This window comes from Homo sapiens, chromosome 21 (assembly GCF_000001405.40).
Source record: "Homo sapiens chromosome 21, GRCh38.p14 Primary Assembly".
Classification (NCBI taxonomy): Eukaryota; Metazoa; Chordata; class Mammalia; order Primates; family Hominidae; genus Homo; species Homo sapiens.
In genome coordinates, this window is record NC_000021.9 from 31,652,249 (window position 1) to 31,674,543 (window position 22,295).

The window sequence follows — 22,295 nt, forward strand, 5'->3', positions numbered from 1 at the left end:
CAGGAGAATGGCATGAACCTGGGAGGCAGAGCTTGCAGTGAGCCGAGATCGCGCCACTGCACTCCAGCCTGGGTGACAGAGCGAGACTCCGTCCAAAAAAATAAAACTTTAACATATGTATTTGGGGATGGGGCACAATTCAACCCATAATACATCCAAATGTCCCTCAGCTTATGAGCGGAAAAACGATCTCAGATACAGTCTATCCATGTAACAGAATAGTATTCACATATAGAAAGGCACAAATTACAGATAAGTGCTATAACGTGAACTGAGCTCTAAAACATCATGCTAAGTACAATAGGCCAGATGCAAAAGACAGTGTATTGTATGATACTATTTACATGAAATGTCCAGAAAGGGCAAATTTATTGACAGAAAGCAGGTCAGTGGTTGCCTGCAGCTTGGGGTGGGAGAAGGGATTAAGCAAAAACTACCATGAGGTAAATTGGGCTGATGGAAATGTTTTAAAACTGCATTGTGCTGGTAGCTGTCAACTACATAAATTTACTTTAAAAATCATTAAAGTGCATGCTTACAAAGGGTGAATTGTATGGTATGTAAATTGTATCTTAATAAAACTGTTAAAAAAAAAAAACAAACCAAACCTCCCAGGTTGTGGAGCAGCAATTTTTTTTAAAAGAACAATAACAATAAACCAATGCCTCTTTTTTTTTTTTTTTTTTTTTAGGCAGGGTCTCACTCTGTTGCCCAGGCTGGAGTGCAGAGGTGCGATCTCTGCTCACTGCAACCTCTGCCACCTGAGTTCAAGCAATTCTGCCACCTCAGTCTCCTGGGTAGCTGAGACTATAGGTGTGTGCCACCATGCCCAGCTAGTTTTTGTATTTTTTGTAGAGTCGGGGTTTCACCATGTTGCCCAGGCTGGTCTCAAACTCCTGGGCTGAAGTGATCTGCCCGTCTCCGCCTCCAAAAGTGCTGGGATTATAGGGTTGAACCACCATGCCCAGCCCCTTTCCTTAAAAACAGAAAGAAGTTGTGAAGCAGAATCATCCTGTCATGATAAAGGTATGACTAAATAATACGTGAAAAACATGCAACTCAATTAACTCTTCACAAGTGTAATGATCTCAAACAAAATATACTACCCTTCATCTCAACTTAAATACCAATCTTCATGCAATAAGTAAAATCTGCACTGATGAGACTTTTAAAACAGCAGCCCCACCACATATGAGGCCTATAAACCAAGCTTGTCCAACCCGCAGCCTATGGTGCCTGTGGCCCAGGAAGGCTTTGGGTGCAGCCCAATGCAAATTCATAAACTTTCTTAAAATGTGAGATTGCCTTTGCGATTTTTTTTTTTTTTTTTTTTTTTTTAGCTCACCAGCTATCATTAGTGTTAACGTATTTTATGTGTGGCCCAAGACAATTCTTCAAATATAGCCAATTTGAAGCCAATATGGCCCAGGTGATGGGGACCCCTGGGGTTTAAACCGCACAAACTTTAGGCATTATCATTTCAAGTTTAAGTCTCACCCAACTCCTACCCACCTAGTAGGGTAGAGGTTCATTAAGAAAATTATGTGCCTTAAAGGGAATAGATAATTACATTTTTAAAAAACAACTTTGAGGCTGGGGGCGGTAGCTCATGCCTATAATCCTAGCACTTGGGGAGGCTGAGGCAGGTGGATTGCTTGAGCCCAGGAGTTCTAAATGAGCTTGGGCAACATAGGGAGACCCCATCTCTACCAAAAAATAAAAAAAAAATTAGCCGGGTGTGTGGGTGCTCACCTGTAGTCCCAGTGAGAGGTGACAGCATGCTGGCAGTCCTCAGAGGCCTCACTCGCTCTCGGCACCTCCTCTGCCTGGGCTCCCACTTTGGCAGCACTTGAGGAGCCCTTCAGCCCACCGCTGCACTGTGGGAGCCCCTTTCTGGGCTGGCCAAGGCCGGAGCTGGCTCCCTCAGCTTGCAAGGAGGTGTGGAGGGAGAGGCATGAGCGGGAACAGGGGCTGTGCGGGCACTTCCGGGCCAGCTGGAGCTCCAGGTGTGCGTGGGCTTGGCGGGCCCGCACTCGGAGCAGCCGGCAGGCCCTGCCGGCCCCATGCAATGAGGGGCTTAGCACCAGGGCCAGCGGCTGTGGAGGCCCTGTACTCAGAGCAGTGCCGCCCACCGGCACTGGGCTCGATTTCTCACCGGCCTTAGCTGCCTCCCTGCGGGGCATGGCTCGGGACCTGCAGCCCGCCATGCCTGAGCCTCCCCCTCTCTGTGGGCTGCTGTGCTGCCGGAGCCTCCCCGACAAGCACCGCCCCCTGCTCTACGGCGCCCAGTCCCATCGACGACCCAAGGGCTGAGGAGTGCGGGTGCACGGCATGGGAGTGGCAGGCAGCTCCACCTGCAGCCCAGGTGCGGGATCCACTGGGTGACGCCAGCTGGGCTCCTGAGTTTAGTGGGGACCTGCAGAACCTTTATGTCTAGCTAAGGGATTGTAAATGCACCAATCGGCACCCTGTGTCTAGCTCAGGGTTTGTGAATGCACGAATCGACACTCTGTATCTAGCTACTCTGGTGGGGAGGTGGAGAACCTTTGTGTCTAGCTCAGGGATTGTAAACACACCAATCAGCGCCCTGTCAAAACAGACCACTCGGCTCTACCAATCAGCAGGATGTGGGTGGGGCCAGATAAAAGAATAAAAGCAGGCTGCCTGAGCCAGCAGTGGCAAGCTGCTTGGGTCCCCTTCCATACTGTGGAAGCTTTGTCTTTCTTTGCAATAAATCTTGCTGCTGCTCACTCTTTGGGTCCACACTGCCTTTATGAGCTGTAACACTCACCACGAAGGTCTGCAGCTTCACTGCTGAAGCCAATGAGACCACGAACCCCCCGGGAGGAATGAACAACTTGAGACGCGCTGCCTTAAGAGCTGTAACACTCACCGCGAAGGTCTGCAGCTTCACTCCTGAGCCAGCGAGACCACAAACCCACCAGAAGGAAGAAACTCCGAACACATCTGAACATCAGAAGGAACAAACTCCGGACACGCCACCTTTAAGAACTGTAACACTCACCGCGAGGGTCCACGGCTTCATTCTTGAAGTCAGTGAGACCAAGAACCCACCAATTCCGGACACACCAGCTACTAGGGAGGCTGAGGTGAGGGGATCACCTGAATCCAGGAAGTCGAGGGTGCAGTGAGCCGAGATCATGCCGTTACACTCCAGCCTGAGTGACAGAGTGAGATCTTGTGTCAAAAAAACAGAACAAAATAAAACAAGAACGTTGAATAGGCTGTGTGTTAATTCTGAGATGGAGTCCAGACTTAAGAATGATCCTGAGGCTTAGACCCATATCCAAGAGGATGATTCCAGCCTGGCACTTATAGGTTCTTCAGGCACTTCAGATGCACCCTGTCCTGAATTAAGCCCTTTGTCCTTGAACCTGCTTTCCTTGGTAAACAGCACCAAGGGGGCTAGAAACCTGGGGGCTGCCCTTACCTTCCCTCTCTCACCATGCACCTCTAATGGGTGGCTGGACTTGTGGTTGCATTTCCGTGATCTCCCAGCTTTCTTCCAGTGATGGCCTTAGGTGGGCTCTTATCCTGTCTCCCAAATGGCCTCTCTGCCTTGAGTCTCACCCCATCTGCTCTCAGTCCACCCACTGAGCTATTCCAGAGACCATTCTGACTCCCTGTGGACACCCCTCTGGTGGCTTCTCCTCTCTGTCAGTTAGAAATTGCTTTTGACTGCATGTAACAAATGTGGTTACGCTATTTAACCAAATAAAGGTTTATTTTTCTCGTGATGAAAAGTACACAGATAAGCAGCCTACTTCCATCGATAACCATTGAGGGTTTCTTATGACTCTTACAGCAATGAAATGTGTATTTACAGTATAAAGATATACAATTTTAAGGTTTTAATATAATTGGGCCTAAGCACAGTATTTTTTGTTTTAGTTTTCAACTGCCCAGGTGATTCTATTGTGCAGCCAGGGTTGATAAACACTGCATCTAGGCCCAGTGCCTTTGATTTGCAGCTGAGGTCTAGAGAGAATTATTGAAACTGCAGTCCCAGCTACTTGGGAGGCTGAGGTTGGAGAATTGCCTAAGCCCAGCGGGGTGAGGCTGTAGTGAGTCAAGACTGCACCACCGCACTCCAGCCCGGGCGACAGAGCAACACTCCATCTAAAAAAAAAAAAATTTCTGGTCTACCTTTTTGCCCACCTTTTAACCACAGAGGTCCCCAAACATGAATTTTCACTCTCAGGAAGGCTGAAATGACACATTACAAGCGGTTTAGTCATCTGCACGTGCCGCCATCTGATTTAAGGCATCTATTCCTCCTCACCATTCCTGACAAAGTTGAACTGTCTACATGTGCCACATTCTCCTCTTTCTCTAATTCCTTCCCTCCTTCCCTCCTCCCTTTCTTCCCTCCCTCCCTCCTTCCTTCTTCTTTCTCTTTCTTTTTCTTTCTCTCTTTCTCTTTCTTTCTCTTTCTCTCTCACTCTCTTTTCTTCTTTCTGACAGGGTTTGCCTGTTCTGCTTCTTTAAACCCTGGGGTTCAAGTGCAAAGGTCCCTCTCATCTGATTTCCCTATTTTATTTTATTTAAGTTAGATACTCCACGATGATGATGATGATTATTGTTGAGACAGGATTTCATTCTGTTGCCCAGGCTGGAGTGCAATGGTGCGATCACAACTCACTGCAGCCTCAACCTCCTGGGCCCACGCGATCCTCCTACCTCAGCCTCCCAAGTAGCTTGGACTACAGGGGTGTACCACCATGCCCGGCTAATTACATGTGCCAGATTCAACCCACGTTCCAGGGTTCCAAACAACCAAGGCTCTATCATCCTGTCTTAACAAATATACCTTCATAAAGACCTGGAAGGCAGGTTGAAATGTGGAATTCTTGGACTTCTTTCAGTTCTACGTAGAAGGGTAGCAGTGGAGAGCTGGCTGCCTGCCCGCCCCTGGCCTTTCCTCCTTTCCCCACCCCTGCTCCTTGTGGCACTGGGCAGGGCCTACGTTCAAGGCTAGCAGTGTACTCAACAAGGGACAGTCCCTGTGTGGCCTGTTCAGGATCCTATACACAGGCTCAGGGCTCTTTGGGCAGGAAATTCCAGGATCCGGGTACTCAAGTGGTGTTCTAAACAGTGGTTCTTGGCCGGGTGTGGTGGCTCACACCTGTAATCCCAGCACTTTGGGAGGCCGAGGCTGGCAGATCACTTGAGGTCAGGAGTTCGAGACCAGCCTGGCCAACATGGTGAAACCCCATCTCTACTAAAAATACAAAAACTTAGCCAGGCATGGTGTGCACGCCTGTAGTCCCAGCTACTCGGGAGGCTGAGGCAGGAGAATCACTTGAACCCAGCAGGCGGAGGTTGCAGTGAGCTGAGATTGCACCACTGCACTCCAGCCTGGTGACAGAGTGAGACTCCATATCAAAATAAATACATAAATAAATAAAAACAGTGATTCTTAACTGGGAGTGATTTGGCAACGTCTGGAATTATTTTTGGTTATCCCAGCCTGGCAGGGAGGGACAGGGTATTACTGGCATCTAGTGAGTAGGGGCTAGGGATTCTACTGAACATCCTACAGTGTACAGGACAGCCTCCACAGCAAAGAACTGTCTGGCCCAAAATGTCCATAGTGCCCACATTCGATGCCCTGCATTAGGAAGATATAAATACTCTTAAATATCACAGAGTTAAATTCCTTACCCCTGTTCTAGCAGAGATGATATTCTTGCGGGGGGAGCATCTTCTTGGCTTCAACACATTCTTTTCTCCATGGGAGATGATGCCAGAAGAGGGACAGAACAGGGCCCAGTAAAGCATGGGGCCTGGGGCCAGGGACCCCCTTGTTCAGGTGTGACGACCATCCTACGAAGGCACCACCCAGGCATCATTAGACCGTCTCAAAAGAAGAGTAATTCACTGTCCCAAAGCAGCTCTCTCGTGTCTGTGGGCGGATCCCTTGGCAAGTTTACAATGAACTGAAATCTGCCGAACTTCCTGGAACCCAAAGAAACTTTAGCCTTGGGCAAAGGCCCTTTGGCCAGCATTTGCACTGTTTATGCAACCGTTTAGAATATACGAATTATCTGGAGACTACTACCAAATACAACAGGCAAAACTGCAAATATGTATACTTCCTAGAGGATGATAAAAAAATGTGAATTGTATTTCTCTGATAGAGGATGCATTAGAGTCTGAGGGTCTAAATAGCGTAAATAATAAATAAGTAAATAAATCGATAGTAGTGTACTCCAAACGAGGCTGGAATAGCTTCTATTGTTGTTTCACACTGGACTTCAATTAAGTCTCAGTATTTTGCCATACTCAATATTAAGTACTAGGCTGGACGTGGTGGCTCATGTCTGTAATCCCAGCACTTTGGGAGGCCGAGGTGGGTAGATGGCTGGCTTGAGCTCAGGAGTTTGAAACCAGCCTGGGCAACATGGTAAAACCCCATCTGTACCCAAAATACAAAAATCAGCCAGGTGTGGTGGCACATGCCTGTGGTCCCAGGTACTTGGGAGGCTGAGGCAGGAGGATGGCTTGAACCCAGGAGGTGGAGGCTGCAGTGAGCTATGATGGCGCCACTGCACTCCAGCCTGGGTGACAGAGCGAGACCCTGTCTCAAAAATCAAACAAACAACCCCCTCGCCCCGGACAAAAGTAGTTTGCACTATTTTCTCATTTCACAATATGTTTTTGAAATATTTCCCTTGAAAGGTAAGTCATATTTATCATTCCTGTTGTATGGAGGCATCATAAATTATTTCACCATTCTACCCTCCTTGAGTGTTGTGGCCTTTAGGCCAGACAAAAACGCAGGTGATGCCTAGAAGCCAACTAGTTGCCGTTTGGTTATCTGTAGGGTTGTGGCCTTGCCAAACAGGAAAAATATAAAAAGAATACCGAATTCTGCCAACCAAATAAGAAACTCTATACTAAGGACTAAGAAAATTGCAGGGGAAGAAAAGGTAAGTCCCGGGATTGAGGTGTAGCGACTTTCTATACCCTCAGAAAACTAAAAAACAAGACAAAAAAATGAAAACTACAAAAGCATCCATCTTGGGGCGTCCCAATTGCTGAGTAACAAATGAGACGCTGTGGCCAAACTCAGTCATAACTAATGACATTTCTAGACAAAGTGACTTCAGATTTTCAAAGCGTACCCTGTTTACATCATTTTGCCAATTTCGCGTACTGCAACCGGCGGGCCACGCCCCCGTGAAAAGAAGGTTGTTTTCTCCACATTTCGGGGTTCTGGACGTTTCCCGGCTGCGGGGCGGGGGGAGTCTCCGGCGCACGCGGCCCCTTGGCCCCGCCCCCAGTCATTCCCGGCCACTCGCGACCCGAGGCTGCCGCAGGGGGCGGGCTGAGCGCGTGCGAGGCGATTGGTTTGGGGCCAGAGTGGGCGAGGCGCGGAGGTCTGGCCTATAAAGTAGTCGCGGAGACGGGGTGCTGGTTTGCGTCGTAGTCTCCTGCAGCGTCTGGGGTTTCCGTTGCAGTCCTCGGAACCAGGACCTCGGCGTGGCCTAGCGAGTTATGGCGACGAAGGCCGTGTGCGTGCTGAAGGGCGACGGCCCAGTGCAGGGCATCATCAATTTCGAGCAGAAGGCAAGGGCTGGGACGGAGGCTTGTTTGCGAGGCCGCTCCCACCCGCTCGTCCCCCCGCGCACCTTTGCTAGGAGCGGGTCGCCCGCCAGGCCTCGGGGCCGCCCTGGTCCAGCGCCCGGTCCCGGCCCGTGCCGCCCGGTCGGTGCCTTCGCCCCCAGCGGTGCGGTGCCCAAGTGCTGAGTCACCGGGCGGGCCCGGGCGCGGGGCGTGGGACCGAGGCCGCCGCGGGGCTGGGCCTGCGCGTGGCGGGAGCGCGGGGAGGGATTGCCGCGGGCCGGGGAGGGGCGGGGGCGGGCGTGCTGCCCTCTGTGGTCCTTGGGCCGCCGCCGCGGGTCTGTCGTGGTGCCTGGAGCGGCTGTGCTCGTCCCTTGCTTGGCCGTGTTCTCGTTCCTGAGGGTCCCGCGGACACCGAGTGGCGCAGTGCCAGGCCCAGCCCGGGGATGGCGACTGCGCCTGGGCCCGCCTGGTGTCTTCGCATCCCTCTCCGCTTTCCGGCTTCAGCGCTCTAGGTCAGGGAGTCTTCGCTTTTGTACAGCTCTAAGGCTAGGAATGGTTTTTATATTTTTAAAAGGCTTTGGAAAACAAAAATACGCAACAGAGACCGTTTGTGTGACACTTTGCAGGGAAGTTTGCTGGCCTCTGTTCTAGGTCATGATTGGGCTGCAAGGGCAGAGAAGGTAGCCTTGAACAGAGGTCCTTTTCCTCCTCCTAAGCTCCGGGAGCCAGAGGTTTAACTGACCCTTTTGGGGATTTTTGAGGGCAGTGATCTTAACTTTGGGTGCACAGTTAGCTTATTTGAAGATCTTACTAAAAATACACCAGAGCCCAACCTCCGACCAATTACATCAAAACCTGTCCTAGTGCAGGGTGAGTATTGCTGTTTTTTGAAAGTTTCCAAAAGTGATTTTGATGTGCACCTACGATTGAGAACTGTCGTTTGAGGACAGTGGGTGGAGTTTCGTATTTGGAAATTAGAAGACCTGGAGTTTCCATTACACCGAATTGGCACTTAATAACTGTTGTCGGAGCATTTCTTAAGCCACATTTTCGTAAAGTGGCTTTAAAATTGCTCTGCCAGTAGGCAGGTTGCTAAGATGGTCAGAGACAAACTTCTGAACGACTCTTGTAAAATATACAGAAATATTTTCAGAACTTTTATCAGTAAAATTACAAAACGTGTTGCAAGGAAGGTGCTTGTGATAACACTGTCCCCAGAACCTTAGTGAAGTTACCAACTGGTGGAAAATTTTCTCTTGCACTCGGCTTAAAAATCATGAGGGAATATTTACTATACGAATGAGATTCAGTCTTTAAAGGGGTTTACAGAAACGTGAGAGGACAGGAACAGTTAGTCTGTGTAAATGTCTGAAATATATGTGAGGGAGATAATGAGTTTAGCCTTTTTCTTTAATAGGTCTCCAGATTTTCTGGAAAAGGTTCTTTGGCATTTGACTCCATTTTGCTGTTTCATTTGTCAGACTTCTTTTTGTCCCTCTTTACTTCTCCCCACATAATTCACCAGTACTAGTGTTTTGTTTTTCAGACCAAGTCTCGCTCTGTCGCCCAGGCTGGAGTGCAGTGGCGCGATCTCAGCTCACTGCAACCTCCGCCTCCCAGGTTCAAGCAATTCTCCTGCCTCAGCCTCCCGGGTAGCTGGGACTACAGGCGCGCGCCGCCACGCCTGGCTAATTTTTTATATTTTAGTAGAGACGGCGTTTCACCATGTTGGCCAGGATGGTCTCGATCTGTTGACGTCGTGATCCACCCGCCTCGGCCTCCCAAAGTGCTGGGATTACAGGCGTGAGCCACCCCGCCCGGCCACCAGTGCTATTCTTAAGACGCCTCTGAGGAATCCCTTCTCCCTGGCCATTGAGAATCCATGCATGAACCCAGGTTTTCCACCTTCCCTGAGCAGCTTGCATAGTTCCTTCTTTTAAGCGCCTGACTTCGTTTTGTTTGGTGCCCGTTGTACCTGAGAATGAGCCTTGGATAGTGGAGCATTCCAGCTTTCCAGATATGCAGAGATAATACATTGGCTATCAGCTACTTGGCTTGGCCTATTCCGTGTTTAAAATCTTGGACTCTTTGCTAGTTTTTACAGATCAGAATTTTTCACGTATTAATCCAGTTTTCCTAGCTTCTCTTGAAGAATTTTTGGAGATCTCTTCATACTGAGCCTTCATTAGCCCAGGACAGTACTGCTGTAGCAGTTCATATATTTTTTCGCTTCCCAGGCCTGTGTTATTCACTTAAGTTCATAGCCTGGTCCCTGCAGGGTTGTACCCGAGCACAGCTACTTAGATGTCCTGAATGTATTACCGGTTAAATGGAGGTTTCAAAGAACCTGCTGTTTTTGGCCCTGTGCTCTTGATAACAGAGTGTTTGAGGGACAACTTTCACATTTGAGTTTTTCCAAAATTAAAGGTTGTAGAAGAGTCACAGTATCTATTGTCAAAAAGAAAAGAATTTAAAAAGGCAGCAATTGCCAGGATACTTCATTTGAGCAATGATATTTTCCAGTGGAAAGTCACATCTTAAGGGTTAATGCCCCTTAACTGTTGGCCGTATTTGAAAACAAACCAAGCTAAAAACAAGAGACACTGACATGTTGTATGACGGTGTGGTGTGGATGTTGTGTTTATTTTAGTCCTGAGATCTAGTTGTAACTTCCTTGATTTCTGTATGTAGCCACGGAGCACCATTACCTGTCACCATTACCTGAATGGCTATACTGCTTGCTTTCATTTTGGTAGAGTGGAAAGGTTACCTAGGTTTCAGTGCTTGAAAAGATTTCAGAAAGCAGTAGTACGTCTGGTTAGACTAGAATCAGTCCTCTCCTGGGGGCAGTGGAATATAATATTTTCTGACTGCTAATTAAAAATACCTGTGATAGCCGGGCGTGGTGGCTTACGCCTGTAATCCCAGCACTTTGGGAGGCCGAGACGGGTGGATCACGAGGTCAGCAGATGGAGACCATCCTGGCTAACACGGTGAAACCCCGTCTCTACTAAAAATGCAAAAAAATTAGCCGGGTGTGGTGGTGGGCGCCTGTAGTCCCAGCTACTCAGGAGGCTGAGGCAGGAGAATGGCATGAACCTGGGAGGCGGAGCTTGCAGTGAGCCGAGATCATGTCACTGCACTCCAGCCTGGGCGACAGAGCGAGACTCGTCTCAAAAAAAAAAAGAAAAAAACTTATGATGGACACTTAAAAACACTCACTGAGTGGGGAGTGGAGAGCAGGGGTCCCAGGGTAGCCTGTTGGACATTTCCAGGGCGACTTTTTCTTTTTTTTTTTTTAAAGTCAAGTGAGTATGCCATATGGAAAAGGGTGTGCGTGGAGAAAAAGCAAGGGGCTCCAGAGTGTAGGATGAGACATACACCTTTTGGGTTAAAAAGGCTGAGGCAGGAGAATGGCGTGAACCCGGGAGGCGGAGCTTGCAGTGAGCTGAGATCATGCCACTGCACTCCAGCCTGGGCGACAGAGCGAGACTCTTGTCTCAAAATAAAAAACGTTTACATGTACATGTATATTCAACATGTACAAATATAACCTATTCAAAAGTATTTACTACATAAATAGGTACTTACATTACCTATTTACTGTAATAGTCAAAGCCTATGAAGTATCTAACACTGATGTGTAGGTACTCACTTTGCTTGCCACTCTATTAGGTGCTTTTTATGTTATTTAATCATGAAGCCTGGCCACAGGGTGCTTGTGCATTGAGTGTGGGAACAAGATTACCATCTCCCTTTTGAGGACACAGGCCTAGAGCAGTTAAGCAGCTTGCTGGAGGTTCACTGGCTAGAAAGTGGTCAGCCTGGGATTTGGACACAGATTTTTCCACTCCCAAGTCTGGCTGCTTTTTACTTCACTGTGAGGGGTAAAGGTAAATCAGCTGTTTTCTTTGTTCAGAAACTCTCTCCAACTTTGCACTTTTCTTAAAGGAAAGTAATGGACCAGTGAAGGTGTGGGGAAGCATTAAAGGACTGACTGAAGGCCTGCATGGATTCCATGTTCATGAGTTTGGAGATAATACAGCAGGTGGGTGTTGTGCTGTGCTGGTGACCCATACTTGTTCACCCTAGTTAGATAAACAGTAGAGTAGCCCCTAAACGTTAAAACCCCTCAACTTGTTTTTGTTTTTGAGAAAGGGTCTTGCTCTGTCGCTCAGGCTGGAGTGCAGTGGCGCTGTGCGATCATGGCTGACCTTAGCCTTGACCTCCCAGGCTCCATTGATCCTCATGCCTTGGCCCGTAGCTGGGACTACAGGTACACACCACCACGCCTGGCTAATTTTTGTATTTTTTTCTAGAGGTGGGGTTTCATCATGTTGCCCAGGCTGGTCTTGAACTGCTGGGCTCAAGTGGTCTATCCTCCTCGACCTCCCAAAGTGCTGGGATTACATGTGTGAGCCACTGTGCCTGGGAAAACCCTCAACTTTTCTTTTAAAAAAGAGGTCAACTTTATTGTATATAAGCACTGTGCTAAAATTGCAGGAACTGGGACCATATCCTGATTTTTGTAATAATGCCAGCAGAGTACACACAAGAAAAGTAACTGCACTAGATTGTGAAGACTGGGGTGGACCTGCTTCTGAAGGTCCAGTGCCCTTTGTCTTAAGATTTGGTGTAGTGTGTCTTTAGAAACCAAAAAAAGAGAAGAAGATCAACCTTAAGATTAGCCACAAAACTGGGCTTTGATACCTAGGTGTGGAAAAGAAAGGGAAAGAGTTGATGTTTTGTCTTACAGCATCATTGTAGAAGAGGGTGTTTTTTTGTTTGTTTGTTTTTTGAGACGGAGTCTTACTCTGTGGCCCAGGCTGGAGTGCAGTGGCGCGATCTCGGCTCACTGCAAGCTCCGCCTCCCGGGTTCATGCCATTCTCCTGCCTCAGCCCCCTGAGTAGCTGGGACTACAGGTGCCCGCCACCCCGCCTGGCTAATTTTTTGTATTTTTAGTAGAGACGGGGTTTCACTGTGTTAGCCAAGATGGTCTCTCTCCTGACCTCGTGATCCGCCTGTCTCAGCCTCCCAAAGTGCTGGGATTACAGGCATGAGCCACCGCACCCAGCCAGAAGAGGGTGTTTTTTAAAGAAGGCAAATAGGAAATAAAAACTTGGGCTCTTAACTTTTGTAATGATCCCAGGTGTTTGAGCTGGGGGTTGAGGGTGGGTGCCTCGAGCAAAGGGGCTGCATTTATTTGCATAATGCCATGTAAGAGTAGCTCTACACCCCAAACACAGGCTTCTTAGTGGGACCAAAGTATGATACAAACTGAAGATGGAATGCAGAGGATTATTGGTACTTTGGAATATGCTTAAAAAAAATTTTTTTAAAGTATTTTTAAAAAATCAGGCAACCCCTGAACCAGAGTAGGTTCAGAGAAACTGCCAAATTTTATTTTCTTAATTTGGGATTGGAAGCAAGTTAACAGAAGTTTATGAGTTAAGTTGCATTTAGTGATCTTTTGCCATATTTGAGTAATAATCTGATTTTTTTGTTTATAGATTTCTTCTTAAATTAACTTTATTCATCTTGCTAATTTAGTTTCAAATAGTGATTTGTAATGATCAGATTTGATCCATTTCTGTAATTGCTGAAATTCCCCCGAGTTGCTTTTTGGCTTTACCGCCTCTGGTCTGGGAGGTGATTGCTCTGCTGCTTCCTGTAACTTGCCTGCCTTTCTCCCTGTGTGGGACTCCTGCGGGTGAGAGCGTGGCTGAAGACAGCCGTGTTATGAAAGGGCCTCCTGTGCTGTCGAGGTTGTGCTCTGTGAATGTCATCCCCTGGTGCACAGCAGCACCTTCTACACAGGATACAGTTGGAATGCCGCCCCCTCGAGTTGTGTAAGGCAGCAGCCTTGGCCCTTGCACATAAGATGCTGTTGAATATTCTGCCTGCACCAAGTAAAGGGCACAGATAGAACTGCTTGGCATATGTTGCTGGGGAGATGAGTTTTTTGTAAAGTATACTACGTTCTTAAGAATTTGGATCATAACCATGGGATTTTAATAATAGAAAAACTGTTGAAGATCAGTCTGGTCCCTTATTTTTACAGTGAAGAAGCCAAAGCCCAGAGAAGGGTGTTAACTTTACAAGTGTCAGACAGTAGTTAGAACTTGGTGGGGTTTTTTTTTTTTTTTTTTTGAGATGGAGTCTTGCTCTGTTGCCCAGGCTGGAGTGCAGTGGTGCGATCTCAGCTCACTGCAACCTCTGCCTCCCAGGTTCAAGCGATTCTCCTGCCTCAGCCTACTAAGTAGCTGGGACTATAGGTGCGCACCACCACGCCTAGCTAATTTTTGTATTTTTTCAGTAGAGACAGGGTTTTGCTATGCTGGCCAGGCTGGTCTCAAACTCCTGACCTCAGATGATCCAGCCACCTCAGCTTCCCAAAGTGCTGGGGTTCCAGGTGTTAGCCACCATGCCTGGCCATAGACTTGTTTCTGTTCCCTTCTCACTGTGGCTGTACCAAGGTGTTGCTTATCCCAGAAGTCGTGATGCAGGTCAGCACTTTCTCCATGGGAAGTTTTAGCAGTGTTTCTTTTTAGAATGTATTTGGGAACTTTAATTCATAATTTAGCTTTTTTTTCTTCTTCTTATAAATAGGCTGTACCAGTGCAGGTCCTCACTTTAATCCTCTATCCAGAAAACACGGTGGGCCAAAGGATGAAGAGAGGTAACAAGATGCTTAACTCTTGTAATAATGGCGATAGCTTTCTGGAGTTCATATGGTATACTACTTGTAAATATGTGCTAAGATAATTCCGTGTTTCCCCCACCTTTGCTTTTGAACTTGCTGACTCATCTAAACCCCTGCTCCCAAATGCTGGAATGCTTTTACTTCCTGGGCTTAAAGGAATTGACAAATGGGGACACTTAAAACGATTTGGTTTTGTAGCATTTATTGAATATAGAACTAATACAAGTGCCAAAGGGGAACTAATACAGGAAATGTCATGAACAGTACTGTCAACCACTAGCAAAATCAATCATCATTGTGAAACATAGGAAGCTTCTGTAGATAAAAAAAAAAATTGATACTGAAAACTAGTCGAGACTCCATTTATATGTGTATGTTTTCTGAAAGCCTTTCAGAAAAATATTAAATTTAAGGACAAGATTTTTATATCAGAGGCCTTGGGACATAGCTTTGTTAGCTATGCCAGTAATTAACAGGCATAACTCAGTAACTGAGAGTTTACCCTTTGGTACTTCTGAAATCAGGTGCAGCCCCATCTTTCTTCCCAGAGCATTAGTGTGTAGACGTGAAGCCTTGTTTGAAGAGCTGTATTTAGAATGCCTAGCTACTTGTTTGCAAATTTGTGTCTACTCAGTCAAGTTTTAATTTAGCTCATGAACTACCTTGATGTTTAGTGGCATCAGCCCTAATCCATCTGATGCTTTTTCATTATTAGGCATGTTGGAGACTTGGGCAATGTGACTGCTGACAAAGATGGTGTGGCCGATGTGTCTATTGAAGATTCTGTGATCTCACTCTCAGGAGACCATTGCATCATTGGCCGCACACTGGTGGTAAGTTTTCATAAAAGGATATGCATAAAACTTCTTCTAACATACAGTCATGTATCTTTTCACTTTGATTGTTAGTCGCGGTTTCTAAAGATCCAGATAAACTGTACTTGCAGTTCAAATTAGGAAAAGCAATTTTATTGGACAATTACGGTGAAAATGAATTATTTTATCTAGGTCAGTTAAGAACACTGTTCTGCTAAGATGCAGTAAAAAGCAGGTTACATTTGACCATATTAGATCTGAGTTTGGAAAACAGAAGTAGTCTTTAGTTTTAAAATGGCCAGATTTTCTTGCCAGGATTGGGTTTCTCACTTGTTAAACAGAACATTTTGTTAAGTTTAAAACCTGGGATGGACTTAAGTATTCATGTTCATTCATGTTCATTCAGGACTGCAGGTTATCATGACTTGTTTAACTTGTGGGAAGCTGTTGTCCCAAGTTATCCTGGGGAACTGCATCTGGTTCTTGCAAAACACCAAGTAGACAGGCTCTCTTTTACCTCCCCTTGAGGGCATTAACATTCAGTAGTCACTTCCATTCAGTTAACCCTTTATTTTTATGGTTTTTCTTGAGCCATAGTTGTAAAGCAGAAAAATCATTTATAAAGGTTTGTTGAACAAAATTCAAAATACTGTTGCTTAAAGTATTAAGATTTTTTAGGATTATACCTTACTTATAGGCCCGTCATTCATTTGGCATGAAATTTTGAGTTTTATTCACTTTCACTTTCCTTTTTTTCCAAAGCAATTAAAAAAACTGCCAAAGTAAGAGTGACTGCGGAACTAAGGTTACTGTAACTTACCATGGAGGATTAAGGGTAGCGTGTGGTGGTCTACAACATAGTTATTTGGGTTTTAGTATTTCATTTAGACAGCAACACTTACCTAATGTTTAAAGGTAATGTCTTTGCAACACCAAGAAAAAGCTTTGAGTAGTAGTTTCTACTTTTAAACTACTAAATATTAGTATATCTCTCTACTAGGATTAATGTTATTTTTCTAATATTATGAGGTTCTTAAACATCTTTTGGGTATTGTTGGGAGGAGGTAGTGATTACTTGACAGCCCAAAGTTATCTTCTTAAAATTTTTTACAGGTCCATGAAAAAGCAGATGACTTGGGCAAAGGTGGAAATGAAGAAAGTACAAAGACAGGAAACGCTGGAAGTCGTTTGGCTTGTGGTGTAATTGGGATCGCCCAATAAACATTCCCTTGGATGTAGTCTGAGGCCCCTTAACTCATCTGTTATCCTGCTAGCTGTAGAAATGTATCCTGATAAACATTAAACACTGTAATCTTAAAAGTGTAATTGTGTGACTTTTTCAGAGTTGCTTTAAAGTACCTGTAGTGAGAAACTGATTTATGATCACTTGGAAGATTTGTATAGTTTTATAAAACTCAGTTAAAATGTCTGTTTCAATGACCTGTATTTTGCCAGACTTAAATCACAGATGGGTATTAAACTTGTCAGAATTTCTTTGTCATTCAAGCCTGTGAATAAAAACCCTGTATGGCACTTATTATGAGGCTATTAAAAGAATCCAAATTCAAACTAAATTAGCTCTGATACTTATTTATATAAACAGCTTCAGTGGAACAGATTTAGTAATACTAACAGTGATAGCATTTTATTTTGAAAGTGTTTTGAGACCATCAAAATGCATACTTTAAAACAGCAGGTCTTTTAGCTAAAACTAACACAACTCTGCTTAGACAAATAGGCTGTCCTTTGAAAGCTTTAGGGAAATGTTCCTGCTTAGTCATTTTAGCATTTTGATTCATAAAGTACCTCCTCATTTTAAAAAGACATTATGATGTAAGAGAGCCATTTGATAACTTTTTAGTGAGCTTTGAAAGGCAAGTTACAGCCTCAGCTAGCTAGTAAGATTATCTACCTGCCAGAATGGCACAAATTCTACATTCAAGGGTAGACGCTGGCACAACCTACTTACAGATTAGCCCTTTAAAGCAATCTGTAGCATTAGAAGATGGAACCAAGGAAATGTTTGACTGTGGGTTCTGGCTGTTGAGAAATAATTTACACACCGAATTAGTGAAATGAGTCACTTTCTCTTAATGTATTTATGTACCTGAGAGAATGCTTTTCAATGTTAACCTAACTCAGGTTTGACTAAATTATTCAATTGGAAATTGTAGAATATTATTTCTGATAAACCAGAAATAAGTGAAATGCTGTTTGTTCATAAATATGTACTTTATCAAATGTAGGAGAGATCATTTAGGAGAGGAAAAGCTAAATTGGAAGACAAATCTGTAGTGTTTCCAAAGTTTTAAAATTATGGTAAACAACAGTATGTTCACAGTAAGTGGTTAAAACAACCATTCTTTAAATCTCAGTAGAGAATTTTTAAAAAGCAGTATTTAACACATTTCCCTAATGTAGTTTGTTGCCTATGTGGAATAACTCAATTAGAGACTCACTTATGCCTTTTGAAACTTCAAATATAATTACACTACCAGTTTTTACATGTGCATATAGGATGGTCCCAATACTTTAAATTGGAAATACAGGCTGTAAGTCCTTCAAGTCTGGATGTTGGGTAATCACGTTTTCTTCCAGAAGCCATTTGTTAGGACTTTAAAACTTCTCAGTGGGCCAGTGTAAAATTAAGGACAAGTTTTATAATTTAAATTTACAGATAAATATAAAACAATTTTCTCTCATTTTCTAAAGGCAGGAATATAAGGACATTGCCCTAGATATATTCTCCCCATCAAACCAAAGGTCTTGCTGCTGAGTATTATTTAAAAACCAGAGTAATAAAGCAGCTTCGCCTGAGGATGAAGGCAAAGACAAAGTTAACTGCTCAGCATACTGAAACCAGGAGTTTGAAAAAGTAATTCAAAACAACTTCAAGGCCATAAATACTTGGATAGTGTGACATCAGGTCTTGGCACTGGATTTCCTGCAATTTCAGATGAAGGCTTGACTTGGCTTTAGATGTTTTCATGTGATAATTCTTGGATAACCTACAACGATTTTTCCTATTTAACCCACCAACTTTAAGCAAAAGAAAGAACGTATATGTGGGGGAAAAGTTCGTTTACCTCTGCCCCGCAGGGGAATTAAAACGCTGGTGAAGAAAGGCAACAGGCAAGGCTTATATAAGGAAACAGTAGTAGGCTGCACTGAAGTCCTCAAACACAACAAAAAGCTCTTAGGTTGCAAATGTTAACCTTGATTCTTTTACCCTTTTGAAAAATTCAATGGGATGGTTGGAAAAAAAAAAAACCACAGACACACACACACACACACGCAACCTTCTAACGTAATACCCAGGCAGTCCGATAATTTATAGTACAACGTGTAACACTGGGATCCAACTTTTCACCCAGCAAAATCTCCTTACAAATTAGGGCAACATATACCACAAAGCCAATGGAAAAAAAAAGAAAACCTCGATTGAATTGCAAACACAGCTTTTCAATTGACATTAAAACAACTAACCTTTACCTTATGACTGAGCACTAAAAATCAAAAGTATTACATATGAAAGTGAGAATAACTACATAAAATGTCTATTTTCATCAAATAAGTCTAATTTAGACTCCAATACAGTATTAACAGCTCAAACTTTGACGGTGAACAATCCTTTTCCACCTTAATGCAGTGTAGGAAGAATAGCACACATTAAAGTTTGTTACGAAAATAGAGTTTATTAAAAACATCCCTATTGTTTTGAGGAGCTTTCACCGTTACCTTGTCTTAAATTAAAAAAAAAAAAAAAAATAGAGAGCACTTCTAATTACGATTTGTAAACTTTTTAAAGTCAAAACTTTTAAAAAGTTACAGCAAAAAGGGTAATATTTATTCATATTTTCAGTATTTTTTGTTATTTTGTGGCTATTTTTAAATAGAAGGGAAGCAATCAAATTGCTTACAGTTCCCCACCAGCTGGCGCGGGGCTGCAGTACAGCGGGAGCGGATATAATACAGCATCTGTACACCTCAAGCTCTACACTCCAGGAAGTGTCACTGTCACATTTTCACAAATTCCAGTCTCTAACGAGGAGCCTCTGCTGCTGAGCCAGAATCCTTTTCGGGTTCAACGGATGAGGTAGCCTCAGCAGGTAACTCTTCAGAAGGCTTTAGGACTGCAGCCTCAGACACCCCCTTCTCAAGTTCTGAAGCAGTGTCTACATTTCCCACTTGGCTAATGGGAGGTTCAACGGTTTTGTTACCACCTGCCCTGTCTGTCACCTCAGGCTTTTCCTTTCCTCGGGCTTCTTCCTTCTCTCTACGAGACTCTCTATCTCTAGAATCTCTCTCTCTGTCTCGATGCCCACTAGAGCGTCTATTTCTCTCTTCCAAGTCTCTGTGCCTGTCCCGGTCAGGGCTCCTCCTTCCCCACTCTCTCCTGTCACGGTTACTATTATCTCTATCATCATTACGGTTCCCATACCGTTCCCGGTCATTTTCCACCCTATTTCCAAAAGATCTTCTTCCAAACCTTTCTTGGTCTCTACCTGAATTGAACTGCTGCCTGTTATCATTTCTAAACTGCTGTGGCTGCTGCTGTGTTGGTGGAGGCTGTTGTGATGGTGGTGGCTGCTGCTGCTGCTGCTGCTGTGGTTGCTGGGGCGCCTGCGGCTGTGGCTGCTGCTGTGGCTGCTGCGGCGGCTGTTGCCTTCCGTCTCTGTCTTCAGGACCCCCTGGGCCTGGCCCTGGGCCCCCGAGCCCTGGCATTCCACCAGGCCTAACAAAGGGGCCATGCGGTGGGAAGGGACCTTTCATTCCATGAGGTGGAGGCATCGCAAAGCCCCCTGGTCCTGGCGGTGGGCCTCTGTGCATCATGTGCGGTGGCATGGGACGGGGCGGCATCAAAGGGAACCGCTGTAAGTGAGGTGGGGGCATTCCTGGAGGGCGCTGGAGTGGGATGAGACCGGGCCGGGCGCCAAGAAGACCAGTAGATGGTGCCTGAAGTCCAATTACAGGACCAGGGGCAACTCCTTGAGTGCCTAAAAGACGACAAAAATAAAAATGTAAACACCACCGAAGATGGCACTCCAGTTTCAGCTGTGTTCTGTGGCGCTTAAAGCAAAATAAAATTCAACCCACAATCTTCAAATTTCATAGTTTGCCACTCTGTCACAAACCCAGTGTGAGGCCTAGTAACAACCTAAGGCAAGCAATTGCAAAGACATTTTTAAAGTATCTAATACAGGTAGAGGCCAGAATAAACTGGGAAATAAAATAGTAATGGTAATACCAATTTTCAAAGAGTATGTCAAAATCTCCTGTAGCTTTCATTAGAAGCTGTCTTCCCACTCCAAATACATTTGAGAAACACAGTGTGCTAAGTCCTAATGAGATAAATACATTCACTATCAGTAACTATTCAAGCTAACTAAGCATACTGCAGGTGCACACTTAGAAAATTTACACCCCGTCTTATTACTAGAAAAAAATGAGGTCACTGACCTAGAAAACCCAGGAAAGAGGAAGATCTCTTTGACTCCATGCTACACTTAGTCCATATTATTAAAATGCCTCATGCAGTTACTATGCAATGTGCATCAAATAAACACTAATGTCTACAAAACAAAGATCCATACACAAATGTGAAGTTTACTGTTACAGTTCCTTTTTCAAGGCACAGCATGATATTTAACTTGCGAGGCCATCACGACCTGAATAATGCTCAATGTTCAGCTGTTCACCTTCTATTCATTATTTCTATTCATTCTTCCAAAGGTGGCAAGTCTGGTAAGGTTGGTGCTGCTGAAATAACAATGACTTCTTGGTTTTATTTTCCTATCTACATGAGGGTTTGCTCATACTGATATAAGAGTCACGCAAGTTCAACAACCTGTCATTTTCTGCTTGGGGTTCACCACTTAGGTACAGAAAAGCATTGGAATCTCTCAATTTATCCTTTTGCAAATATAAATAAGACAAATACTATAATACTATGATTGAAAGGAGTTATTCTGATAATGGAAAATGTTCCAGGTACTGTTAAGAACATGCTATTTACCCATGTGCTGCAGAAAGGTCTTTGAGCAAGTTATGGGTTATGATCAGTTAGCAATGGTAAGAAAAATACTTGGGTGACACTGACAGAAAAATGACCAATTGGGAAATGCTGATTACCACAGCAAAAGCGCCAGAAATTGTGAAATGGATGAGGTGATGGCTCTGTCCCTTCACAGGCTCTTCAGACACTTTGGGAAAATCCCAATGAACAAGTACAGGACACCAGCTACACTGTATCTCAGATAGAAATAAAACACTCTTCACATCATTTGGGAAATATTTACCGAGTATATACCATACACTGGGGCAACAGAAGCACATGTCCTTGCTTTCACTTTGTAAAGAAATAGTGTAGTTCCAACACCTGTGGACTTTAATCCAAAACATAAAATGTATATGCCCAGGCACAGTCTCTTTTAATAGAGGGATCATTATATAGAAACACCTGAAACAAACTGAACTTTACTTTCCCATTACCTTTTATCAGTAAAGATTTGTTTTCCAGGACTAAAATGACCAATGTTTACTGTTAACGGAGGTCAGCATAGAACATTCTGGTGCCTATCTATAGGTTCAAGTGGCCAAGCCAAATTATAATATAACACCAGAAAAACGGGGGAAACAGTTTCAAAGCATCTTATTATAACAAGAGAATTTAGTTGAGATGAGTCTTCAAAAGGAAAGTGATTCCTGAAGGGCAATGGGAAGGTCCTACTCCTGATGCCCCATTGACTTGGCTTCCTCAAGTATCTGACAGTGGCCAAAGGATGCAAAGCCACCTCAACTTTGTACAGAAGAGAGAAAATGGGCCCTGATGATAAAATACAAACCCCAGACTGAAGGACCACATCTCTTAAGTACTTTACAGCATTCATTTGAGGGTATAAATTAACAGGGTTAAAATTTACAATAATCATATAAACCTTATATAAAAGCACAATTTTTATAAAGAATTGCCTACTTGTTTGATACATGTGGATATTTGTGTGTGGGATTTGCTTAAAACATTATACACTCAAATCCTTTCCCTTCTTCGTAAATAAAGCTAAAAAGATGTGGCCAGCTGGGTTTCCTTTTAACCCTTTGAGAGCCAACTAAATTTATAGATTCCTGATAGAATATGCCCATAGCCCCAGATGGCCTTCAGACCACAAAAAAAATTTTATCTGTA

The 22,295-nt window shown here is 44.5% G+C and overlaps 2 protein-coding genes, 1 long non-coding RNA gene and 1 other non-coding gene across 12 annotated transcripts in view, besides 8 other annotated features; 2 read left to right on the top strand and 2 right to left on the bottom strand.

The window, feature by feature from the left end:
• Nucleotides 1-1,338: 1,338 nt before the first annotated feature.
• SOD1-DT (SOD1 divergent transcript) lies at nt 1,339-7,776 on the bottom strand. Its single transcript, NR_187558.1, is given in 3 exon segments — nt 1,339-3,179; nt 5,686-5,847; nt 7,149-7,776. It is a non-coding gene; the product is annotated as an SOD1 divergent transcript (long non-coding RNA).
• Nucleotides 1,595-2,145: an enhancer, noted in NCBI's record as "H3K27ac-H3K4me1 hESC enhancer chr21:33026156-33026706 (GRCh37/hg19 assembly coordinates)". NCBI's record gives its function as "activates a minimal SCP1, AML or CMV promoter by ChIP-STARR-seq in naive H9 embryonic stem cells {active_cell/tissue: H9 hESC(naive)}" and the evidence as "EXISTENCE:reporter gene assay evidence [ECO:0000049][PMID:30033119]".
• Nucleotides 2,146-2,694: an enhancer, noted in NCBI's record as "H3K27ac-H3K4me1 hESC enhancer chr21:33026707-33027255 (GRCh37/hg19 assembly coordinates)". NCBI's record gives its function as "activates a minimal SCP1, AML or CMV promoter by ChIP-STARR-seq in naive H9 embryonic stem cells {active_cell/tissue: H9 hESC(naive)}" and the evidence as "EXISTENCE:reporter gene assay evidence [ECO:0000049][PMID:30033119]".
• Nucleotides 7,058-7,377: a silencer, noted in NCBI's record as "silent region_13241". NCBI's record gives its function as "represses an Ori minimal core promoter by ATAC-STARR-seq in GM12878 lymphoblastoid cells {active_cell/tissue: GM12878}" and the evidence as "EXISTENCE:reporter gene assay evidence [ECO:0000049][PMID:35858748]".
• Nucleotides 7,445-16,683, top strand: SOD1 (superoxide dismutase 1). Its single transcript, NM_000454.5, has 5 exons — nt 7,445-7,593; nt 11,542-11,638; nt 14,201-14,270; nt 15,010-15,127; nt 16,223-16,683. Exons 1-5 carry the CDS (start codon nt 7,522-7,524, stop codon nt 16,328-16,330), a joined length of 465 nt encoding a protein of 154 aa, NP_000445.1. The 5' UTR covers nt 7,445-7,521; the 3' UTR covers nt 16,331-16,683.
• Nucleotides 7,648-7,927: a silencer, noted in NCBI's record as "silent region_13242". NCBI's record gives its function as "represses an Ori minimal core promoter by ATAC-STARR-seq in GM12878 lymphoblastoid cells {active_cell/tissue: GM12878}" and the evidence as "EXISTENCE:reporter gene assay evidence [ECO:0000049][PMID:35858748]".
• Nucleotides 8,088-8,287: an enhancer, noted in NCBI's record as "active region_18354". NCBI's record gives its function as "activates an Ori minimal core promoter by ATAC-STARR-seq in GM12878 lymphoblastoid cells {active_cell/tissue: GM12878}" and the evidence as "EXISTENCE:reporter gene assay evidence [ECO:0000049][PMID:35858748]".
• Nucleotides 8,787-9,296: an enhancer, noted in NCBI's record as "H3K4me1 hESC enhancer chr21:33033348-33033857 (GRCh37/hg19 assembly coordinates)". NCBI's record gives its function as "activates a minimal SCP1, AML or CMV promoter by ChIP-STARR-seq in primed H9 embryonic stem cells {active_cell/tissue: H9 hESC(primed)}" and the evidence as "EXISTENCE:reporter gene assay evidence [ECO:0000049][PMID:30033119]".
• Nucleotides 9,297-9,805: an enhancer, noted in NCBI's record as "H3K4me1 hESC enhancer chr21:33033858-33034366 (GRCh37/hg19 assembly coordinates)". NCBI's record gives its function as "activates a minimal SCP1, AML or CMV promoter by ChIP-STARR-seq in primed H9 embryonic stem cells {active_cell/tissue: H9 hESC(primed)}" and the evidence as "EXISTENCE:reporter gene assay evidence [ECO:0000049][PMID:30033119]".
• LOC124900469 (small nucleolar RNA SNORA81) lies at nt 12,058-12,234 on the top strand. Its single transcript, XR_007067939.1, has one exon. It is a non-coding gene; the product is annotated as a small nucleolar RNA SNORA81 (small nucleolar RNA).
• SCAF4 (SR-related CTD associated factor 4) overlaps nt 18,752-22,295 on the bottom strand; it is a 61,119-nt gene continuing 57,575 nt past the window's right edge. For all 9 annotated transcript variants that reach the window (NM_001145444.1, XM_047440932.1, XM_047440931.1 and 6 more), the window contains one exon: nt 18,752-20,106. In NM_001145444.1, the coding sequence (NP_001138916.1) occupies nt 19,151-20,106 (956 nt within the window). In that variant the 3' untranslated portion in view covers nt 18,752-19,150. The remainder of the gene's footprint in view (nt 20,107-22,295) is intronic.
• Nucleotides 19,845-20,403: an enhancer, noted in NCBI's record as "H3K27ac-H3K4me1 hESC enhancer chr21:33044406-33044964 (GRCh37/hg19 assembly coordinates)". NCBI's record gives its function as "activates a minimal SCP1, AML or CMV promoter by ChIP-STARR-seq in naive H9 embryonic stem cells {active_cell/tissue: H9 hESC(naive)}" and the evidence as "EXISTENCE:reporter gene assay evidence [ECO:0000049][PMID:30033119]".

Bases quoted from the DNA above. Each gene is read 5' to 3' on its own strand.
- SOD1 (NM_000454.5), top strand. From the start codon at position 7,522: ATGGCGACGAAGGCCGTGTGCGTGCTGAAGGGCGACGGCCCAGTGCAG. The intron at 14,271-15,009 runs GTAACAAGATGC...TTTCATTATTAG, and splicing joins GGGCCAAAGGATGAAGAGAG to GCATGTTGGAGACTTGGGCA. The intron at 15,128-16,222 runs GTAAGTTTTCAT...AATTTTTTACAG, and splicing joins TCATTGGCCGCACACTGGTG to GTCCATGAAAAAGCAGATGA.